Here is a 19,777-nt window from a genome sequence, read left to right as displayed (position 1 = left end):
AAAAAACCAGCTCTTATGAGAACTAATAGGGTGAGAACACACACATCCCAAATCCAGGGGTTCTATTCATGGGAACTAACAGGGTGACAACTCACACAACCCAGAATCTATTCATGCCCCCATGAGCCAAACATCTCCCATTAGGCCCCGCATCGAATAATGGGGATTGAATCTCAACATGAGATTTAGAGGGGACAAACATCCAAACTATGGCACTTAGAAATATAGCATGCTCTGCAACTCACCAAGGGGTGCCAGTTTTGGGAATGTAAAGGGAGGGCAGCATGCATGCCTGAGTGGGTGGGTGGGGTCTGGGACACACTGGGCTGCAGGAAGGAGGGACAGTGACCAAAATAGGTACTTTTGTCAACTTAGCATAAATTAGCCCTGCATTTGATCCTGGGCATCCCTGGAAGATGTACCACCTGGTTGATCTATTCTGTTCTATTCTGGTTACTTCCCACCTTGCCTGTATAGGAGGCCCTTTAGACACCATCTCTCAGTAATCATGGTTTGATAATCTCACCAGCTGTGGGAAGGGTGAGGCCCCTTTTTTGCTTCTGTTAACAGTTCAATATCAGGAAATGGTCCTCCTCCAATTAAAATTTTCTTTAAAATATTAAATGAAATATTCTTTAACATATTAAACTAAATATTGGATGTGTAAAAATATTTACACTACATGAAAGGTGAAATAACAGTATGCTCAACAATAAGCTTAAAAACTAGAACATTTTCAGTAACTTTGAAGACTCCATGAGTCCTTCCTTTTCCCCAATAGACTACTATTATCATGGGCTTATATTCCTTTTACGTTTTTTATAGTATTTATAATAGGTATGTACTATATATGTGTCTGTGTGTGTATGTGTGTGTAATCAACATATAGTTTAGGTGTGCAGGCCTCAAACATCACATCAGTGGAATCACACTGTATTAATCTGTGATTTGCTTTAGTTTTTTTGTCTAACACTATGTTGCAGAGAGTCCTCCATGGAGAAGTCTACTGCCGAAGTCCACTGATTTTCACTGCCGTATGATATTCCATCGTGTGGCACGTGGAACAATCAGGATCATATTTCAACATGAGATCCCCACGTTGATGTCTCAGTCTTGGGTAGACATGGTAGGGCTGGTAGGAAGTGGTCTAATGACTTCCATTCCTCTGTTGGAACATTTGGGTTGCTTTTGGGTGTTTTGTTATTAAAAACACTGCTGCTGCTATCATTCTTTTTTGTACAGTTTCTTTGGATTCCAATCCATAAAAGCCTAGCATGGAATTGTTAGGTCATAAGTATATAACCATGTGCTTTCTCTCCCTCTCCCCCTCCCTCTCCCTCTCCCTCTCTCCACGGTCTCCTTTCCACGGTCTCCCTCTGATGCCGAGCCAAAGCTGGACGGTACTGCTGCCATCTCGGCTCACTGCAACCTCCCTGCCTGATTCTCCTGACAGCCTGCCGAGTGCGTGCGATTGCAGGCGCGCGCCGCCACGCCTGACTGGTTTTCGTTTTTTTTTGGTGGAGACGGGGTTTCGCTGTGTTGGCCGGGCTGGTCTCCAGCTCCTAATCGCGAGTGATCCGCCAGCCTCGGCCTCCCGAGGTGCCGGGATTGCAGACGGAGTCTGGTTCACTCAGTGCTCAATGTTGCCCAGGCTGGAGTGCAGTGGCGTGATCTCGGCTCGCTACAACCTCCACCTCCCAGCCGCCTGCCTTGGCCTCCCAAAGAGCCGAGATTGCAGCCTCTGCCCGGCCGCCACCCCGTCTGGGAAGTGAGGAGCGTCTCTGCTTGGCCGCCCATCGTCTGGGATGTGAGGAGCCCCTCTGCCTGGCTGCCCAGTCAGGGAAGTGAGGAGCGTCTCTGCCCGGCTGCCATCCCATCTAGGAAGTGAGGAGCGTCTCTGCCCGGCAGCCCATCGTCTGAGATGTGGGGAGCACCTCTGCCCCGCCGCCCTGTCTGGGATGTGAGGAGCGCCTCTGCTGGGCGCAACCCTGTCTGGGAGGTGAGGAGCGTCTCTGCCCGGCCGCCCCATCTGAGAAGTGAGGAAACCCTCTGCCTGGCAACCGCCCCGTCTGAGAAGTGAGGAGCCCCTCCGTCCGGCAGCCACCCCGTCTGGGAAGTGAGGAGCGTCTCCGCCCGGCAGCCGCCCCGTCCGGGAGGGAGGTGGGGGGGTCAGCCCCCCGCCTGGCCAGCCGCCCCATCCAGGAGGTGAGGGGTGCCTCTGCCCGGCCGCCCCTACTGGGAAGTGAGGACCCCTCTGCCCGGCCAGCCGCCCCGTCCGGGAGGGAGGTGGGGGGGTCAGCCCCCCGCCCGGCCAGCCGCCCCATCCGGGAGGTGAGGGGCGCTTCTGCCCGGCCGCCCCTACTGGGAAGTGAGGAGCCCCTCTGCCCGGCCACGACCCCGTCTGGGAGGTGTGCCCAGCGGCTCATTGGGGATGGGCCATGATGACAATGGCGGTTTTGTGGAATAGAAAGGCGGGAAGGGTGGGGAAAAAATTGAGAAATCGGATGGTTGCCGGGTCTGTGTGGATAGAAGTAGACATGGGAGACTTTTCATTTTGTTCTGTACTAAGAAAAATTCTTCTGCCTTGGGATCCTGTTGATCTGTGACCTTATCCCCAACCCTGTGCTCTCTGAAACATGTGTTGTGTCCACTCAGGGTTAAATGGATTAAGGGCGGTGCAAGATGTGCTTTGTTAAACAGATGCTTGAAGGCAGCATGCTCCTTAAGAGTCATCACCACTCCCTAATCTTAAGTACCCAGGGACACAAACACTGCGGAAGGCCGCAGGGTCCTCTGCCTAGGAAAACCAGAGACCTTTGTTCACTTGTTTATCTGCTGACCTTCCCTCCACTATTGTCCTATGACCCTGCCAAATCCCCCTCTGCGAGAAACACCCAAGAATGATCAATAAAAAAAAAAAAAAAAAAAAAAAACCATGTGCTTCATATGGACATTTTGGTCAATGATGGATTGCATATATACCGGTGGTTTCATAAGATGTTAATACCATATTTTACTGGACCTTTTCTATGTTTAGATATGTCTAGATATAAAAATACTTACCATTGTGTTACAGTTGTCTACAGTATTCAGTACCGTAACACGCTGCATAGGTTTGCAGCCTACGAACAATTAGGCTATCCCATTATAGCCTAGGTGTGCAGCAGGCTATACCGTCGAGGCTTGTGTAAGTACACTATATGATGTTCACACAACAACGAAATCCCTAAGGATACATTTCTCAGAATGTATCCCCAATGTTACATGATGGAAGACTGTATGGATATGATGTAAAAGTGTTTTCAAAAGGAATAGTAAATATTTATCCTTCTACTGACAATGAATGTAGGTTCAGAACTTGCACATCCTCACCTCGCCTGATACTGTCTGCTTTGTTAGTTCTGCCATTCTGGTGGGCACAAAAGGCATAAACTGTTAGTTTTAGTTGGAGTTCCAAGACTACTAAATAAGTGGAGCATTTTTTTTTCATGTTTGTTGGCCATTTGTGTCTTTTCTACATGCAGGTCAAAATCTTTTGCCCATTTTCTACTGTATTTTTTTATAATATGCAGAACTTTAAAAAATATTTAAGTTGTTTGAGAAATGGAGTGCTCATTCTACACCAGGCACTACTCTAGGTTGTGGGATACAGCAGTGAATAAAACAAAGTCCCTCTCCTCATGTATCCTAGTACAGAGAGCAAACAAACACATATAGAGTAAATAGTGTGTCAATGCTCCTATGCCTTGTAGAGAAAAACAGAGCTGGGCAGGAGAGAGGGAGTGGGACTGCTGAGCTGTAGGGTCAGGAAAAGCCTGAAGGGGTGATATTTGAGCAAAGGCCTGAACAGAGTAAGAGGGTGAGGCCTGCAGACGTCATGGGAAGAGCCATGGAGGAAGAGCAAACACAAAGGGCAGGGGACCTGAGGAAAGGCTGGAGTGTGGGTGGAGCCTGGGACAGAGACCCAGCTGAGAAGGGAGGAGAAGGATCAGGGCCTCCATCATGTGGGGTACATAGACTCTGGCTTTCATTTTGAGTGATGTGGTGGGGGCACTACAGGGGTTTGAGTAGGGGAGTGACAGGAGGCTTCTGTCTCAAGGACTGTTCTGTGTTGAGAACAGACTGCAGGGAGGTAAGGAAAGAAGAATGGAGAACGCTTGGGAGGCTAACCTTGTGACACAAGGGAGAGAATGATGTCTTCGTCTTGGGGGGACATGGTGGGGCTGGTGAGAAGTGGTCAGTTTCTACATATGTTCTGGAAGTACAGTCAAAAGGGGTCCCTGCTGGCTTGGCTAGGGGCATGAGGGAAAGACAGGCATCAGAAATAATGCTGAGGCTGGATGCAGTGGCTCACACCTATAATCCCAGCATTCAGGGAGGGTGAGGCGGGAGGATCGCTTGAGTCCAGGAGTTGAGGCCAGCCTGTGTAACATAGCAAGACCCCATCTCTACCAAAAAAACAAAAAGAAAAAGAAAAAGAAAAAAAGAAGAAATAATGCTGAGATTTTTGGCCTGTGCAACTGCAAGAATGGTGCTGCTGTAATTCAAGGTGGGGAGGATTGTGAGAGGAATAGAACATGAAGGGTTTGATTTTTCACATGTTATATTTGAGATGTCTACTTGCTATTCGAGGGCAGGTGTTGAACAGGCTGTTGGTTATAGGTCTTGGAATTCATGAAAGAGGTCCAGGCTGAGGGCATGCATCTGGGGGTCATCATCAGGGAGACATGAGACAGGAGGGGCTCACCTAGCGAGCAAGCGTAGACACTGCAGAGGAGAGGACAAAGGACTGAGCGTGGGGCCCTGGACTGTTCAGAGTTCAGGGAGGCCGGAGGAACCAGTAAAGCAGCCTGAGAAGGAACAGCCAGAGAGGAAGGGAGATGACACAAAAAGTTCAGTGTCCCAGGTAAACAATAAGGAGGGTTCAAGTGTTAGCTTAGGTAAAAGGAATACTGGCCAGGTATGGAGGAGCATGCCTGTAGTCCTGGCTACTCAGGAGGCTGATGTGGGAGGATCACTTGAGCCCAGGAGTTTGAAGCCAACCTGTGCAACACAGAAAGACCCCATCTCTACAAAAAATTTAGAAATTAGCAGGCATGATGGTGTGTGCCTGCAGTCCTAGCTACTCAGGAAGCTGATGTTGGAGGATCATTTCCGCCCCAGAGTTTGAGGCTGTAGTAATGATGGAGCTATGATCATGCCACTCCACTCCAGCATGGGTAACAGAGCAAGATCCTCTATCAACGAGATGAAAAAATAAAAACAAAAATTAACAGTAAGATGACAACTAAGAATGGTCACTGGATTTGGCAACATATGACTCTGATAAGAGCTCATCCATAGTGGTGTAGGTTTAAGAGAGAAAGGGAGACAGAGTACAGACTACTCTTCCGGTAAGTTTTGCTGGATTCAGAGAGATAAATAAGGTGGCACCTGGCCAGGTGTACTTTTTAAATTCTTAGAGCTATCATATTATAATGAGCGATGAACATGATCCAGCAGAAGGTGGGAACAACTGCTGGAGTGAGGTCCTTGAACAGACACCAAGTGGAAGGTTCCTTGTGCACACCTGGTGGGTTAGTCTCAGGGTGTGGTGAATGGTATTTGGATATTAATCCTTTTCAGTTATTTGTATTGCTAATATTTCTGTATTGCTAACATTTCCTCCCAATTTATGGCATTTTTTGTTGTTGTTGTTAAGACAGAGTTTTGCTCTGTCGCCCAGGCTGGAGTGTAGTGGTGTGATCTTGGCTCACTGCAACCTCTGCCTCCTGGGTTCAAGTGATTCTCCTGCCTCAGCCTCCTGAGTAGCTGGGATTACAGGTGCCTGCCACTATGCCTGGCTAATTTTTGTATTTTTAGTAGAGACAGGGCTTCACCATGTTGGCCAGGCTGGTCTCGAACTCCTGACCTCAGGTCATCTGCCCGCCTCGGCCTCCCAAATTGCTGGATTACAAGCGTGAGCCACCATGCTGGGCCAGCATCTGGACTCTTAAAAGCTCCCCTGGTGATTCTAATGTCAGCCAGCCTTGAGCACAAGTGTCCTAGCTTTCTCGTGGGTGACACTAGTAAATCTCAAGTGTTGGCTGTCTCTAAGTGCTGCTTCTAGGATGTCACCCTGCCCCAGTGGTTCTTAAACTTCAACTGCATTAGAATTACCCAGAGGATTGGGCCTCATCCCCAGAGTTTCTGTTTCAGGTCTGGGGTGGGACCTGAGACCACAATTCCAGCAAGCTCCTGGGTGGTACTCATGTTCTTGCTCCAGGGATCACATTTTGAGAACCTCCCAGCCTTAAATCAAGGCTCAAAATGCTGTTGCATACTCTCCCGAGTCAACAAAGCCCATAAATATAGACGCAAGCAAGATGAATTTTACCTAAGATTTCACAAGGGAGGTGGAACAGAGGGTTTATTTTGCATACTAAATAATAATTTTAATAAGAGTTAAAATTCTCATCAGAAATTCCTGTACTCCTTTAACATTCTTTTAGCTCTCTTTAAAATTTTTGTTCTTTTAAAATTCATATCTCTTTTAAGTTCCCCATCCTAAATAGAACCTAAATATGCCTTAACTCCTAGTCCCCAACTCCCAGATTTTTCTCATCATGCTTCTGTTAGTCTCTCCCTTTCTCAAACAGAGCTTCTCAGTTTTGGCCCCTGCAGGTAGCACCCGGACCAGGATTAGCAGGATCAGTCATCTGAGGTACATAGCAACTCCTTTTTTTTCACCAGCAGTCTTGTATGTGACTTATGTGTGTGATCCCATCAGCAGGGTACCCATATGCAAAGCCACATGATCACTGGCATATCTGCTCCGGATACAAACTGTAGCCCAGAACTGTGGCAACCTGGGAATGTAAGCAGCTTGCTCTTGTTCCAAGGCCAAGTCCATTAGTCAAAGGGCTGTTTGCCTAATAGAGACTCAGCTCTGTGTTAGAATACAAACAGTCCTGTTTTCCCAAAGCTAGCTGAATTCCAATAACCCGCACCTTGGGGCTGGAAAGGAGAAGTGGGGAACAGAGCCTGTGACTTGGTGGTGCAGAGGGTCTCACCACCTGCCCTCAGACCACAACCGGAACCGCATTCTGTACCAGTGCCTGAAGCTGTTGCAGCTTGCAGCTTACCTGCAGGATCCAGGCTGATAGTATGGGCACCAGAGAGGCTTCATTTGGCATACTCAGGTCCTAATTCTGCCAAAGTCAAATGCCAGCGGCCCTCCGGAGGACCAGGAAGGGAGTAATAAAAACAGCTTACCTAGAAGGAAGTGGAACTGTTTCTTTCTCCTGTAAGAAGAGCCAGATCCTAAAGCAGCCACTGCAACCACCACTCCCAGGACAGACACCACCATTCCTGAGTGCCAACCACATGCCAGGCACTGGAGAGGGCTTTCATTAATGCATGTATTCTCAAAGTATTTCTTATAGTCATATCAAACAAGCTTGTTACATCAGTCTATTAACCCTATCTCACAGGTGAGAAAACAGAGGCTCACAAGAAGAAATATCTCGCCTAAATGCACAGCAAGCAAGTCAGTGCCACAGCAGGGCTCTCCCCCTGCTAGTCCAACGTTATCCTTCTCACTGATAATTACTAGCACATTGCTTCACACTCTTTCTCCCTTTCCTAAAGTAACTCCCTCCCCTTTGTAGCACATTATAGAATGCCTTGAAAGTTGAGGTTTTCTTAGTCATCACTTTACCCTCCAGCATTTAATATGGAGCATGGCACATTGTAAGTGCTCAGTAAATATTTGTTGAGATGAACACCAACAGCTTCCTACCCAACCAGGCAACTGTCCTGGGGTGAGCCTTAGAGGCTGGGGAGATGTCAATACTGTGGAGATAGAAAGGTGAAGGATTTCTCATCTGCAAACCCAAGTTTGAGTCTCTGCCCTGCTGTTCACTGGCTGTACGACACTAGTTAAGCCCTTTCATTTTTCTCACTCACCTTATCCATGCATATCCTTAGCGGGTGCAATAGTGTTTCTAAATAATAACACCTCACTCCTACCAGCATGATCACTATGGGAATCCCAGGCTTGTCACACCGCTTTTGTCAGAGGCATTTGAACAAGAGTGACTCCATTTTGAATAGAGTGTGGGTAAAATGAGACCTGCTGGGCTGCATCCCCAGGAGGTTAGGCATTCTTAGTCACAGGATGAGATAGGCACAAGATACAGGTCACAAAGACCCTGCTGATAAAACAGGATGTAATAAAGAAGCCGGCCAAAACCCGCCAAAACCAAGATGGTGACAAAAGTGACAGCTGATCATCCTCACTGCTCATTATACACTAATTATAAGTCATTAGCATGCCAAAAGACACTCCCACCAGCACCATTACCATTTACAAATGCCACGGCAACATCCAGAAGTTATTCTATATGGATATAGGATAACTATATCAGTTATAGATCCAGGAATTCCCTCAGTTCCAGGAATTCCCTGCCCCTTTCCCAGAAAACTCAAATAAACCACCCCTTGTTTACCATATGATCAAGAAACAACCAGCAGCCCTTAGGGCTTCTCTGCCTATGGAGTGGCCGTTCTTTTATTCCTTTACTTTCTTAATAAACTTGCTTTCACTTTATTCTGTAAACTCACCTCTAATTCTTTCTTGCATGAGATCCAAGAACCCTTTCTTGGGGTCTGGATCAGGACTCCTTTCTGGTAACACTTTCTCGGGAGGTAGCCTGGATGGGTTGCCACCAACAAGCCCCACTTAGCATTGTGTTAGCCAAAATTTTACTTAATACAATTATTTTCATTTTTAAGGGAAAAAGAATTTCGGTCCTTAAACTCTTCCATTTTTCTAGGTTTGGCTTCATGTGAAGCAGAAAACATAAGTTGCTCATACCTGTTTTGATGTTTAACTATTTCCCTCTCATGGGAACTCTGTGTATACTTGGAGGTTACAATCGAGGGAGGCGAACACAGGAAGTCCGTGCAGTAAAGTGTCTTGTTCTTGCTGTTGGGTAACTTTGGTGGAGGAAATGGAGGGAGACGTGAGGCACTTATGTATGCGGAGTTTCTCCCGGTGCCATGTGCTTAATCAGGAAATGACTCACCTGAGCCTCATACTAACCTGACTACATTAAGATCGTTTGTTATCCCCCTTCTATAGATGAAAAAGATGAGGCTCTGCAAAGTTAAGCAGGCTGTCCATAGTATTAAGATAACTGAATTTCATATCCCAAGTCCTGACCCCAGAATGTTACCCCTCAGCCTAGGCTAGTCTTACCGTTCAAAACTCAAAGAAGGAGGACCCAGTATGGAAGACCATGATCTCCGTCCAGAGGGCTCTCTGGGATCCTGAGCAGAACTCATATAGAGAAACCCCAAGCTCCCCAGGTGACTTCTGCCTTAATTCCAGATGGCCATCGCTGAATTCTTTTCTGAACTACAATGTGAAATTTCACTTCTTTGGTCTAAACAAGTAGTTTTTTCTCTTTTTTTTAAGTGAGAACATAATGAAGTAGAAGAGAAGGGCATATTTTTGCTTTTGGGTCCATATGGCAGCCTTTCACGAAGTGCAGAATGTCTAGAGGCTGAGCCTTGGGATCAGCATTTAACCAGCTTCCTGGGTGATTCTTCTACACACTAAACCCTGAAAACTGTTTTGAGACATAGTAACCAGTACTAAGGAGTGTGATGTACAGAAAAGAGAATATTCACTTATCATGCCAACTGATTTCAAGTAGATGGAAGCTTCAAAAGATTTAAAAACCTATTCATTTTTTTTGCCGTAGAAGTTAAACACCCTTTCCCCACCTGTCCTACCCTATCCATTTGCTTAGCAAACTTCTTGTTCAGGAGTAGCTCAGAAAACTACGAGGGGCAGTTTAATCTCTATCAAAATTAACTCTTAATGAAAGGGGTCTGAATGAATTTGATTTTATTATATTGAAGCTGTGATTATACTCTTTAAGGAAGAGCATCAAAACAAAGATATCACTGAATATAGTGATATCTATAGCTCATGGATCTATAGATATAGTGATATCTGTAGATAGGCAACCACCAGAAAACAAAAACAGTCCACTAGAGAAATTACCCTGTCCCTGCCTAAACAATGGTGTGAGTGTAAATCAGGAGATAAATTATTATTATTATTATTATCATTATTATTATTTGAGATGGAGTCTCGCTTTGTCACCCAGGCCGGAGTGCAGCGGCACGATCTCCGCTCACTGCAACCTCTGCCTCCTGGGTTCAAGCAATTTTCCTGTCTCAGCCTCCCGAGTAGCTGGGACTACAGGTACGCACACCACCATGCCTGGCTAATAAGATGGCTTCTTTATGTTTGAGCAACCCTGCCCCAGAGGAACTGGAGGACCCCTCAGGCTGCATCTGGAGAAGCATCCTGGAACTTTCTACTTAGCAGCTCAGTTATGTGTGTGGCCGTCTGGATTGAATAAAAACCCTATTTCTTTCTTATTATTGTTGATTTCAATTAGCTAATGGGAGGTGGGAAGCTGTTAGCTTGCTGTCAAATGATAGTGATAGGTTTTCGTTTAAGGCTTATGCAATATACTGGAGGAAGAAGTAGAATGTACGAATAGAAGGTCTTTTAAAGTGAAGATTTAACACAATAGGAATAAGAATCTTCCAGGGAGAAGGAGTTTTAGAGGTCATCTTGTCCAACAGGAAAATGCTACAGATCTCTATTTTTTGGTTTGAAGGTCTGAAGACAGCTATTAGGCTCTCCCAAAGTCTTACTTCATCCAGGATTAATATTCCCACTGCTCTCAACCATTCTTCATAAGAAGTGGTTTTTACTCTCCCCTTTCCCCGAATACCCCATATACCTTCCTCTGGATTCAATAACTTATCAACACCTTTCTAAGAGGGTGGAGCTCAGAACAGGACATACTATTCCAAGTGTTTGCATCAGTGTAGAACACAGCATGACTTTTATTTCCACTAGTTGGATGGTGTACCTTAATTAACCCAGACAGAATGACATTAGCTTCTTTTGTTGTTATCTGATACTGTTGGCTTGTACTGACCCAGACATGATCTGAAACTGAAATGCCTTTGCAAAACTAGGACAGTAAGAGAAATCTGAGAGAAATCTGACATAGCTGACTCCATCTTGCTTCTAACCTCACAACCTCTTGCTCATTCCTGGGCATAGGCCAAGATAGCTATGGGAAGAATTTAGTTTATAGTTTAACCTTAAAGCAAGGATGATAATAGCCTCTTTCCAAAACTATTCGCTCCTTGTTCAGGATGGAACTGCCTTTGTAAAACTAATGAAAGGTCACAAGATTAGAATTATGGGAGGGGCCTGAATTCCACTAAGACCTAGGCATAGTTAAATGATAACTAGTCATTGTTTACTGCTCAGGAGTCATGTAGGGATAGTCACAATATTTGTAACTTCTCTAATTGCTCCCACAGGTAATATCATTATCGTAAAACCTAAGATTGGTGTTTGAGGTATTTTTCAGACTTTTCCAATTTGTTCACTGAGGGAGTCCACCTGGACCTGTGACTCATATTGAGGAACTAATTCAACCAGTCCTGTGAACTCCCGCCCAGGAACTGACTCAGTGCAAGAAGACAGCTTTGACCCCCCATTATGATTTCATCCTTAACTCAACAAATCAGCATTCCCCATTCCCTAAACCCTTGCCCACCAAACTATTCTTGAAGATAGCCTCCAAGCTTTCGGGGAGGCTGACTTGAGTAATTAACTCCCCTTCTTCCACTTGGTGAACCATATGATTATTAAACACTTTCTCTACTGCAATACCACCATCTCAGTGAATTGGCTTTATCTGTACAGTGGGCAAGAACTGCAGGCGATTACACTGTCAGGTGATTACAAAACCAAGGGTTTCCTGTAAGCACTACAGACAAGCCACAGGTCCAACCTACACTGGACATTTATACTTAAATAGGTAATGCATATACCTATCAAATGCAATTACCTATAAAAGGAATGCTTGTTAAATCTCCCCTTCCTGGCTTAGGCTGATCATTTCAACCTTGTCAATATGTTTTTAAATCTCAATACGGCCATCCACTGTATTAGCTATTAGTTTTGCTTGATTTTATGTAACCATTTGATTTTTAAAATGCATCCTCTTTCTTGAACGCACTTTTACAACTTTCTTATTGCAGTCTCTGTAGTTACGAAGTTGTATAGAAAAGCAAAATTCACCCTAACATAAAATTATTCCCTAATGAACCAGCTATAATGCAATATAGAAGTACTTCCAACTCAAATATCTTTCCCTTTTCAACACTGGCATCTATGTCCATCCTTTGATTCAAATCCTTGTCCATCTTCTTTTGCTGTGTGCAAATACATGGCAATTTGTTACAAAGCAAATGGCAAATCTTAAAAAGACAAAATCAAATCAGTAATCTATGGCAGTGATGTTAAGAGAACAACTCAAATCATACAAAAAAACCACTGACCAACTAGAAACAGCAGATTTAGGAGAATTAACAACTAAAGAAGAGAAATTCAACAAGGATAATAACTTCAAAGAGGGTTTAAAAGAGAATGACTTGAATATTAAAGGATTTAGAGGAGACTGGAAAAATTGACAAAGTACTTGAATATTTATGTAAAAATCATTTTCTTCAGGATCATGGAGTAAAAGTCAAGCATAAGGTGACAGACAATATGTTGCACTATTATAGTTTGGTCATAAAATTATATCCCCAACCTACTTATCTCAGTTTAAAAAATTAACCTCATTAAAGTATAATTTACATACAATAAAATGCACCCGTTTTAAGTTGTAAGTATCCATGTGTTTTGATAAATTTTTATTACCATGAAACTATTATTGTATCAACTGAAGAGTGACAAGGTTCATAAATTTAGAAAGGAGAGCTTTCTCATAAACAGTTGCAGCCTGAAGCGTGGCCACTGGGACAGGCTGAGAAGCGTAGCCTCTGGCCAGGAAGCTGGGAGCAAGCACTTCAAGGGTCAGAAGAATAAGACAGGGATTTATGCTGGATGGGGTGGCCAAATATACATATTCAATAAGCAATAGGAGCAGTCACGAATATTTACAAAAGGAGAAACGTGCACATGCACAATTGAGCTTCATGCTCCTTTGTGGGTCCCATGTTAGACAAATGGTGGCATTAGCATAATCTGATGGTGGAGTTTTTGGTTCTCTGACATCAAAAGGTGAAGCAGAGGATACAAAAACCCTCATGCACATCATTCATAGACTGGCCAGAACCACTCCGTGGTCAGTGAAGGAATGCTGGTTGGTTGTTTTGTCAAACCACAAAAGAGAGGAGGAGTCATGAGGCTGTGAAATCACTGATGAAGTCTTTTGAAAGGGCTGGTTTCTGGCAAGCCCTTAGGCAAAAGAGCCTAACGACAGTTAGCAAAGGAGAGGATATAAGGAGGTTTGTCCTACCATCCCATCATAGCTGAAAATTCAGCTTCCAAGCTTCTTCTGGGGTCCTCTTGGCCAAGAGGAGGTCTGTTCAATCATTCAGGGGAGCTTCGAATTTTATTTCTATTTCTCAGCCACAGTCAAGATATAGAATATTTCCATCACTCCCAAAATTTACTTAATTCACTTTTTATTAATTCTAATAATTCATCATTGCATTGGTAAACTATATTTTGAAAATGCTTTTCACCATTTTTAGATTCATTTTTCAAAAGTTCCAATCAAATGTTTTTTCCACTCTTATGACATTAAAATTATGAATAGACTTTATTTTTCAGAGCAGTTTTAGGTTTACAGAAAAAATGAGCAGAAACTAGAGGGAGTTCTCATATACTCCCTCCTCCCCATTATTAATATCTTGCATTGATGTACATTTGTTATGATTGATGAACCAGTCATGATTTTTTATTATTAACTAAAGCCTGTAGTTTAAATTAGGGCTTACTCTTTGTGTTGTACAGTTTTGGATTTGTAGGGTTTTTGGTTTGTTTTTGTTTTAAATAAATGCATAATGTTATGTATCTACCATTACAGTATCATACAGAATTATTTCACTGCTCTAAGTGTTTTAATCCCCCAAGCTCCACTGATTCATCCCTTCATCCCCAACCCTTCCAGGGTTCAAATCATCACTGATTTTTATTGTCTTTATAATTTTGCCTTTTGCAGAATGTTACATAGCTGGAATCAAACAGTCTATAGCCTTTTCAGACTGGCTTCTTTCACTTAGTAATATGCATTTAAGGTTGTTCAATGTCTTCCAAGGGACATCTTGGTTCTTCCAATTTTTGGCAATTATGAATAAAGCTGCTATAAATATCTGTGTGCAGGTTTTTGTGTGGATATAAGTTTTCAGCTCATTTGGGTAAACACCAAAAAGCACAATTGCTGGATCTTTTATACAGGTATGTTTAGTTCTGTAAGAAAACACCAAGCTGTTTTCTAAAGTGGCTGTGCTATTTTGCATTTCCCCAGCAATGAATAAGAAGAGTTCCTATTGCTCCACATTCTCAGCAATATTTGGTGTTGTCAGTGTTCTAGATCTTGGCTATTTTAATAGGTGTGTAGTGGTATCTCATTGTTGTTTTAAACTGCAATTCTCTGATGACATGACATTATTTTTTCATATACTAATTTGCTGTCTGTATATCATCTTTGGTGAGGTATCTTTTTTGATCTTTTGCCTACTTTTGAGTTGGGTTTTCATGTAGTTTAGTTTTAAGGGTTCTCTGTACGTTTTAGATATCAGTCTTTCATCAGATGTTTTGTAAATATTTTCTCCCAGTTGGTGGCTAATTTTTTGATGTTCTTAACAATCTCTTTCACAGAGCAGACATTTTTAATTAACAATGACATTTAAAAATAAATTACGCAAAACAAATTATCTTGTAATAACAAAGACCTTGGTCATATCTGTACAACTTAGTTACTAACAAAAGTACTAAATAAGTCAGGATCAGTGGTGAACATCTGGATGTCTCCCTCCAGATTGGCAATGATGAACTAAAACATGTTGACAAAGATTTCTCAGCTGATTTGGCATATTTTTATAAAGAAATTATGCTTGCTTCTAGCAACACCTTTGTTTATTAAGTGCTTACAAACTGGTTAATAATTTATTCGTGAACTTTACAGAGAGTGAGTGGTATGCCTGTTTGGTTAAGAGAATTTTTTCTCACCATTTAGAAAACTGAGAAATGATCTTCCAAAATAATTCCTTTTCTTTATAGTATCTTTTACAATCCTGTTTGCAAGCCTTTTTATTACCCTGGGATAGAATTAACTTGGGCCTAAAGACTTGAAGATTTTTTAAAGTGGCTAAGTGTGTTTATATCTTGTCTCCTTTCTTAGATTTTACCTCCTTCTTCATAACGTTTGTGCTTCATTGTCCTTACCCTATTTAAAGATTATTATTCTTGGATGGGAGAAGATGGTGACATTTCTCTCCGATGGTTTGACACCAAAAAAGTAAAACCCACATCTGCACCATTGGTGACCTCTGGAAAGAAGAGGCCCAATGCCTGGTGGGAGCCTTCTTGGTTGACTTGTTAGGTCTGATGTAACTGCTTGAGGCTGAAATGAGTTCCAGATGGGTTGGGTTTTGAGAATAGAGAAGAGTGTGAACACTACTAAGGATATAGAAAGCCAGTGCATAGGGAAGTTTTGAAGAAGCCAAAGGCATAAAAAAATGAACCAGCCCACAGACAAGCCAAATATGGCACTCTTAGATCATTAAGCCAAAGGAAAACCAAGGCCAGTCTTCATGGAAGTCAATGAATCCAGAGAGTCACAAGCGAGAGAATAATTTTTCCCACATGGGAGGGCAGCCTTTGCCTGGTTTTGGACATGGATGAAGTTCAGAGTCCCAAGTACAAGCAGGACTTAAAGGATCCCCATGTGAGAGGCAGTAGGGTCATAATAGGGAAGTGGTTCTCCTTTCTGTCTGTCACCAGCTAGCATCCTGCCATCTCACTCTACCCCTCACAGTGACATTGACCTTCCTTGTTATATACTCCCTCACAATGACTGAAAAAAAATGTCCTTGCCCTTGACATTGTTCAAGGCTTATTTCATCTGGAGGCTGCTCTTGACCTTATTTGGCATTCAGCCTTGGGTATGTGCCTCTCTGTCCATTTTCTATACATGCTTTTAAAAACTGAGCTCATCAGAGAACACCCTGGATGGTCATACTGACGCTCTTGGTTCTTATTTTTTTGGAACTGCCCCCACTCTTTCTAGTTGTTGCTGTTTTTTTTAAATTATATACTTCTTTTTGACAACATAATGCATTTAACCATTTGCCCTCTTCCCATCCTACTAACAGGAAACCACTGTTTTTAGTTTTCTTGTTTATCCTTCTAGAGGTTTTAAATGAATATTCAAGCCATACAAATATCTATTCTCCTTTTTTTTTTTAAATTCAAATGGTTGCTTTTTCACTGAACAATATTTCTTAGAGATCTTTCCTTATTGCATAAACACTAGCCCTTTTATTTACAGGTGAACAGCATTCTGTTTTTTTTTTAATTATTATTATTTTTTTTGAGATGAAGTTTTTTTGCTCTTGTTGCCCAGGCTGGAGTGCGGTGGCGCCATTTTGGCTTACTGCAACCTCTGCCTCCCGGGTTCAAGTGATCCTCCTGCCTCAGCCTCCTGAGTAGCTGGGATTACAGGTGTGCCCCACTATGCCCAGTTAATTTTTGTATTTTTAGTAGAGACAGGGTTTCATCATATTGGCCAGGCTGGTCTCGAACTCCTGACCTCAGGTGATCCACCCGCCTTGGCCTCCCAAAGTGCTGGGATTACAGGCGTGAGCCACTGCGCCTGGCCAGCTGAACAGCATTCTACCAAAGGTTGTATACCACAATCTCTTTAGCCAGTTCCTGATTGTTGAATATTTTAGGTTGTTTCTAATCTTTAGCTAATTACAAACAATGCTGTAATGATATCATGTTCAAACTTTATCGTCCATGCTTGCTTGTACATCCTCTAATGTAAATTCCTAGGAGTAAAGCTACCAGGTCAAAGCAGATATGCCTTTGTGATTTTGATGGGTACTGTTATAAAAATTACTCCACATAAGGTTTATCAGTGTCGTGAGTACTGCCTTGGCAATGTATTAAGTACTTGTTTTCTTTCAGCTTTGCTAACATGGCATATTATCAAGTCTCCTTTTTAAAATTTATTTGTTAATTTGACAGATAAAAATATGTTTTAATTCACATTTCTCTCGTAAGAGTGAAAGTAAGCATCTTTTCATATGTATTTGAGTCATTTCAATGTCCTTTCCTATGCAGTATCTGTTTATATCCTTTGTTCATTTCTCTATTGAGTTGTTGATTGTTAACAGAGATTAGCCCTTTGTTTATCATATGCGTTACACATATTTTTTCTAGTTTGCTAATTTGGATTCTTACTTTGCTGATGGTGATTTCGTTATTATTTTTTATTTTTATTTTTTGCCAAGCAGTAGTCTTTAAGCATTTTTAAAAAATATAGTTTAGGGCCAAGCATGGTAGCTCACGCCTATAATCCCAGCACTTTGGAAGGCTGAGGTGGGCGAATCACTTGAGGCCAGGAGTTTGAGACCAGCCTGACCAACACGGTGAAACACCGTCTCTACTAAAAATACAAAAATTAGCCAGGCGTAGTGGTGTGGGCCTATAATCCCAACTACTTTGGAGGCTGAGGCAGGAGAATCACTTGAATCTGGGACGCAGAGGTTTCAGTGAGCTGAGATCATGCCATCGCACTCCAGCTTGGGAGACAGAGAGACTCTGTCTCAAAAAAAAAAAGTAGTTTAATTTACAATCAATCTTTTCTTTGATAACTTCTAAACTTTGTACCACAGTGAGACAAGTCATAAAATAATTGCTCCATGTCTTTATCTAGTATTGGTAAGATTTCAGGTTTTACACCTAAATTCCATTTGGAATTTATCTAGGCTTACAGTAGGAGGTATGATCAAATTATTTTTTTTCTAGGTGGTTTCTTAGTTGCCCCAGTATTACTTACTAAGTAATGTATCTTTCCTTCACTTATACAAGATTATTATGTACTAAAGTTCTTTCTGTATTTAGGTCTATTTCAGGACATTTGTCTGAACATGTACCAGTACCACATTGCTTTAATTACTGAGGCTTCAGAGTATATTTTAACCTGTAGAACAGCTAGTTCTCCCTATTGCTCTTCTTTTCCAGAGTATTCTTGTCCATTTCCTAAAACAAACATTTGGACATTTTAATTGGGATAACACTCAGTTTATAAATTAACATAGGAAGGATGGACATTTTTATGTTGTTGATTCTTGAGAGAGTTTTAAAGCTTTCTTTATGCAGTTCTATAAATTTTTATTACATTTACTACCAGGGATTTAAAAGTGTGTGTGTGTGTTTTTTTTTTTTTTTTTGGTTTAGTTTGTAAATGGGCTCTTTTCTTCTATATATATAGTTTCTACCTGGCTGTTGTTCCCATCATTACCCTATCGGGCGAAAGGGTCAAACTCAAATGATCTCCTAATTGAAAATCATACATCCACTCACCATGCACTTTCCTTTCATAAACTTTAGGATGCCATGGTTACTTTCCCTTTTGTCCCTGTAACCTTCACTCACTAAGCAGTCTTTCCTTGTTGGTCAAACCAGTCCTTGCTATTTCCTTTACCTCTTGAGCAATGAAATCATCCTAAAGGAGGTCAGAAATTTATTAGAGGACCAAAGTCTAGTTTAATGAGGCATCCAGCATTGGTCAAGATGTCGAAATACTCCACTACTCTTAGTTGTTCCTTTCAGACTTTGTTGGCATTGTCATCTGTTCCAAGCAGGAGGCACCTCAAGCCTTCATTTGCTAGGGGATTGCTATGGTTTCATTTGTTTGGCCCCTCCAAATCTCATGTTGAAATCTGATCCCCAGTGCTGGAGGTGGGGCCTAATGGGAGGTCTTTGTATCACAGGGGCAAATCCCTCCTGAATGGCTTGGTGCAGTCTTTGCAGTAATGAGTGAGTTCTCACTCTATTAGCTCCTGTGGCAGCCAATTGTTAAAAAGAGTGTGGTGCCCCCTCCTCTCTCTTTTTGCTTCTTGTCATATAATCTCTGCTTCACCTTCCATCATGAGTGGAAGCAGTCTGAGGTTCTTACTAGATGCAAACGCTGGCACCATGCTTCTTGTATATCCTGCAAAATGATGAATCAAAGGAACTTCTTTTTTTTTTTTTTTTTTTGAGACGGAGTCTCGCTCTGTCGCCCAGGCTGGAGTGCAGTGGCGGGATCTCGGCTCACTGCAAGCTCCGCCTCCCGGGTTCACGCCATTCTCCTGCCTCAGCCTCCCAAGTAGCTGGGACTACAGGCGCCCGCCACTACGCCCGGCTAATTTTTTGTATTTTTAGTAGAGACGGGGTTTCACCGTTTTAGCCGGGATGGTCTCGATCTCCTGACCTCGTGATCCGCCCGCCTCGGCCTCCCAAAGTGCTGGGATTACAGGCGTGAGCCACCGCGCCCGGCCCAAGGAACTTCTTTTCTTTGTAAGTGACCCAGCCTCAGGTATTCCTTTATAGCAACACAAACAGGCGAAGACAGGGGCCATTGCCCCACTCCATTTAGCCTCCTCTTTGCCTTTGCTTTGTCCTAAACAAATTACTGTTTTCTAACTATCATAGTCACCAGTGTCCACATATTGTATCTCTTTTTAGCTCACAGTTCCATCTATCTCTTATTTTATTTTGAATAAATAGTATCTTCAAAAATGTGCTTCTTAGAATGCTGGCACAGGTGTTATATTCAGTGGAAAAGAAGGTCTACTACAGGGCCTATAATTTCCTTCTTCTCCCATATATATTTCTAGCTTT

General features: G+C 42.6%; 1 protein-coding gene across 2 annotated transcripts in view; it reads right to left on the bottom strand.

Moving 5' to 3' along the window:
- Nucleotides 1-19,777, bottom strand: part of SLC35F3 (solute carrier family 35 member F3) — a 419,836-nt gene that overhangs the window by 54,705 nt on the left and 345,354 nt on the right. The window lies entirely within an intron of this gene.

The sequence above is a fragment of the Homo sapiens genome, chromosome 1, assembly GCF_000001405.40.
Source record: "Homo sapiens chromosome 1, GRCh38.p14 Primary Assembly".
Taxonomy (NCBI): Eukaryota; Metazoa; Chordata; class Mammalia; order Primates; family Hominidae; genus Homo; species Homo sapiens.
The sequence above is the reverse complement of the archived record's forward strand: the minus strand, read 5'-3'. Positions and strand labels throughout refer to the sequence as shown.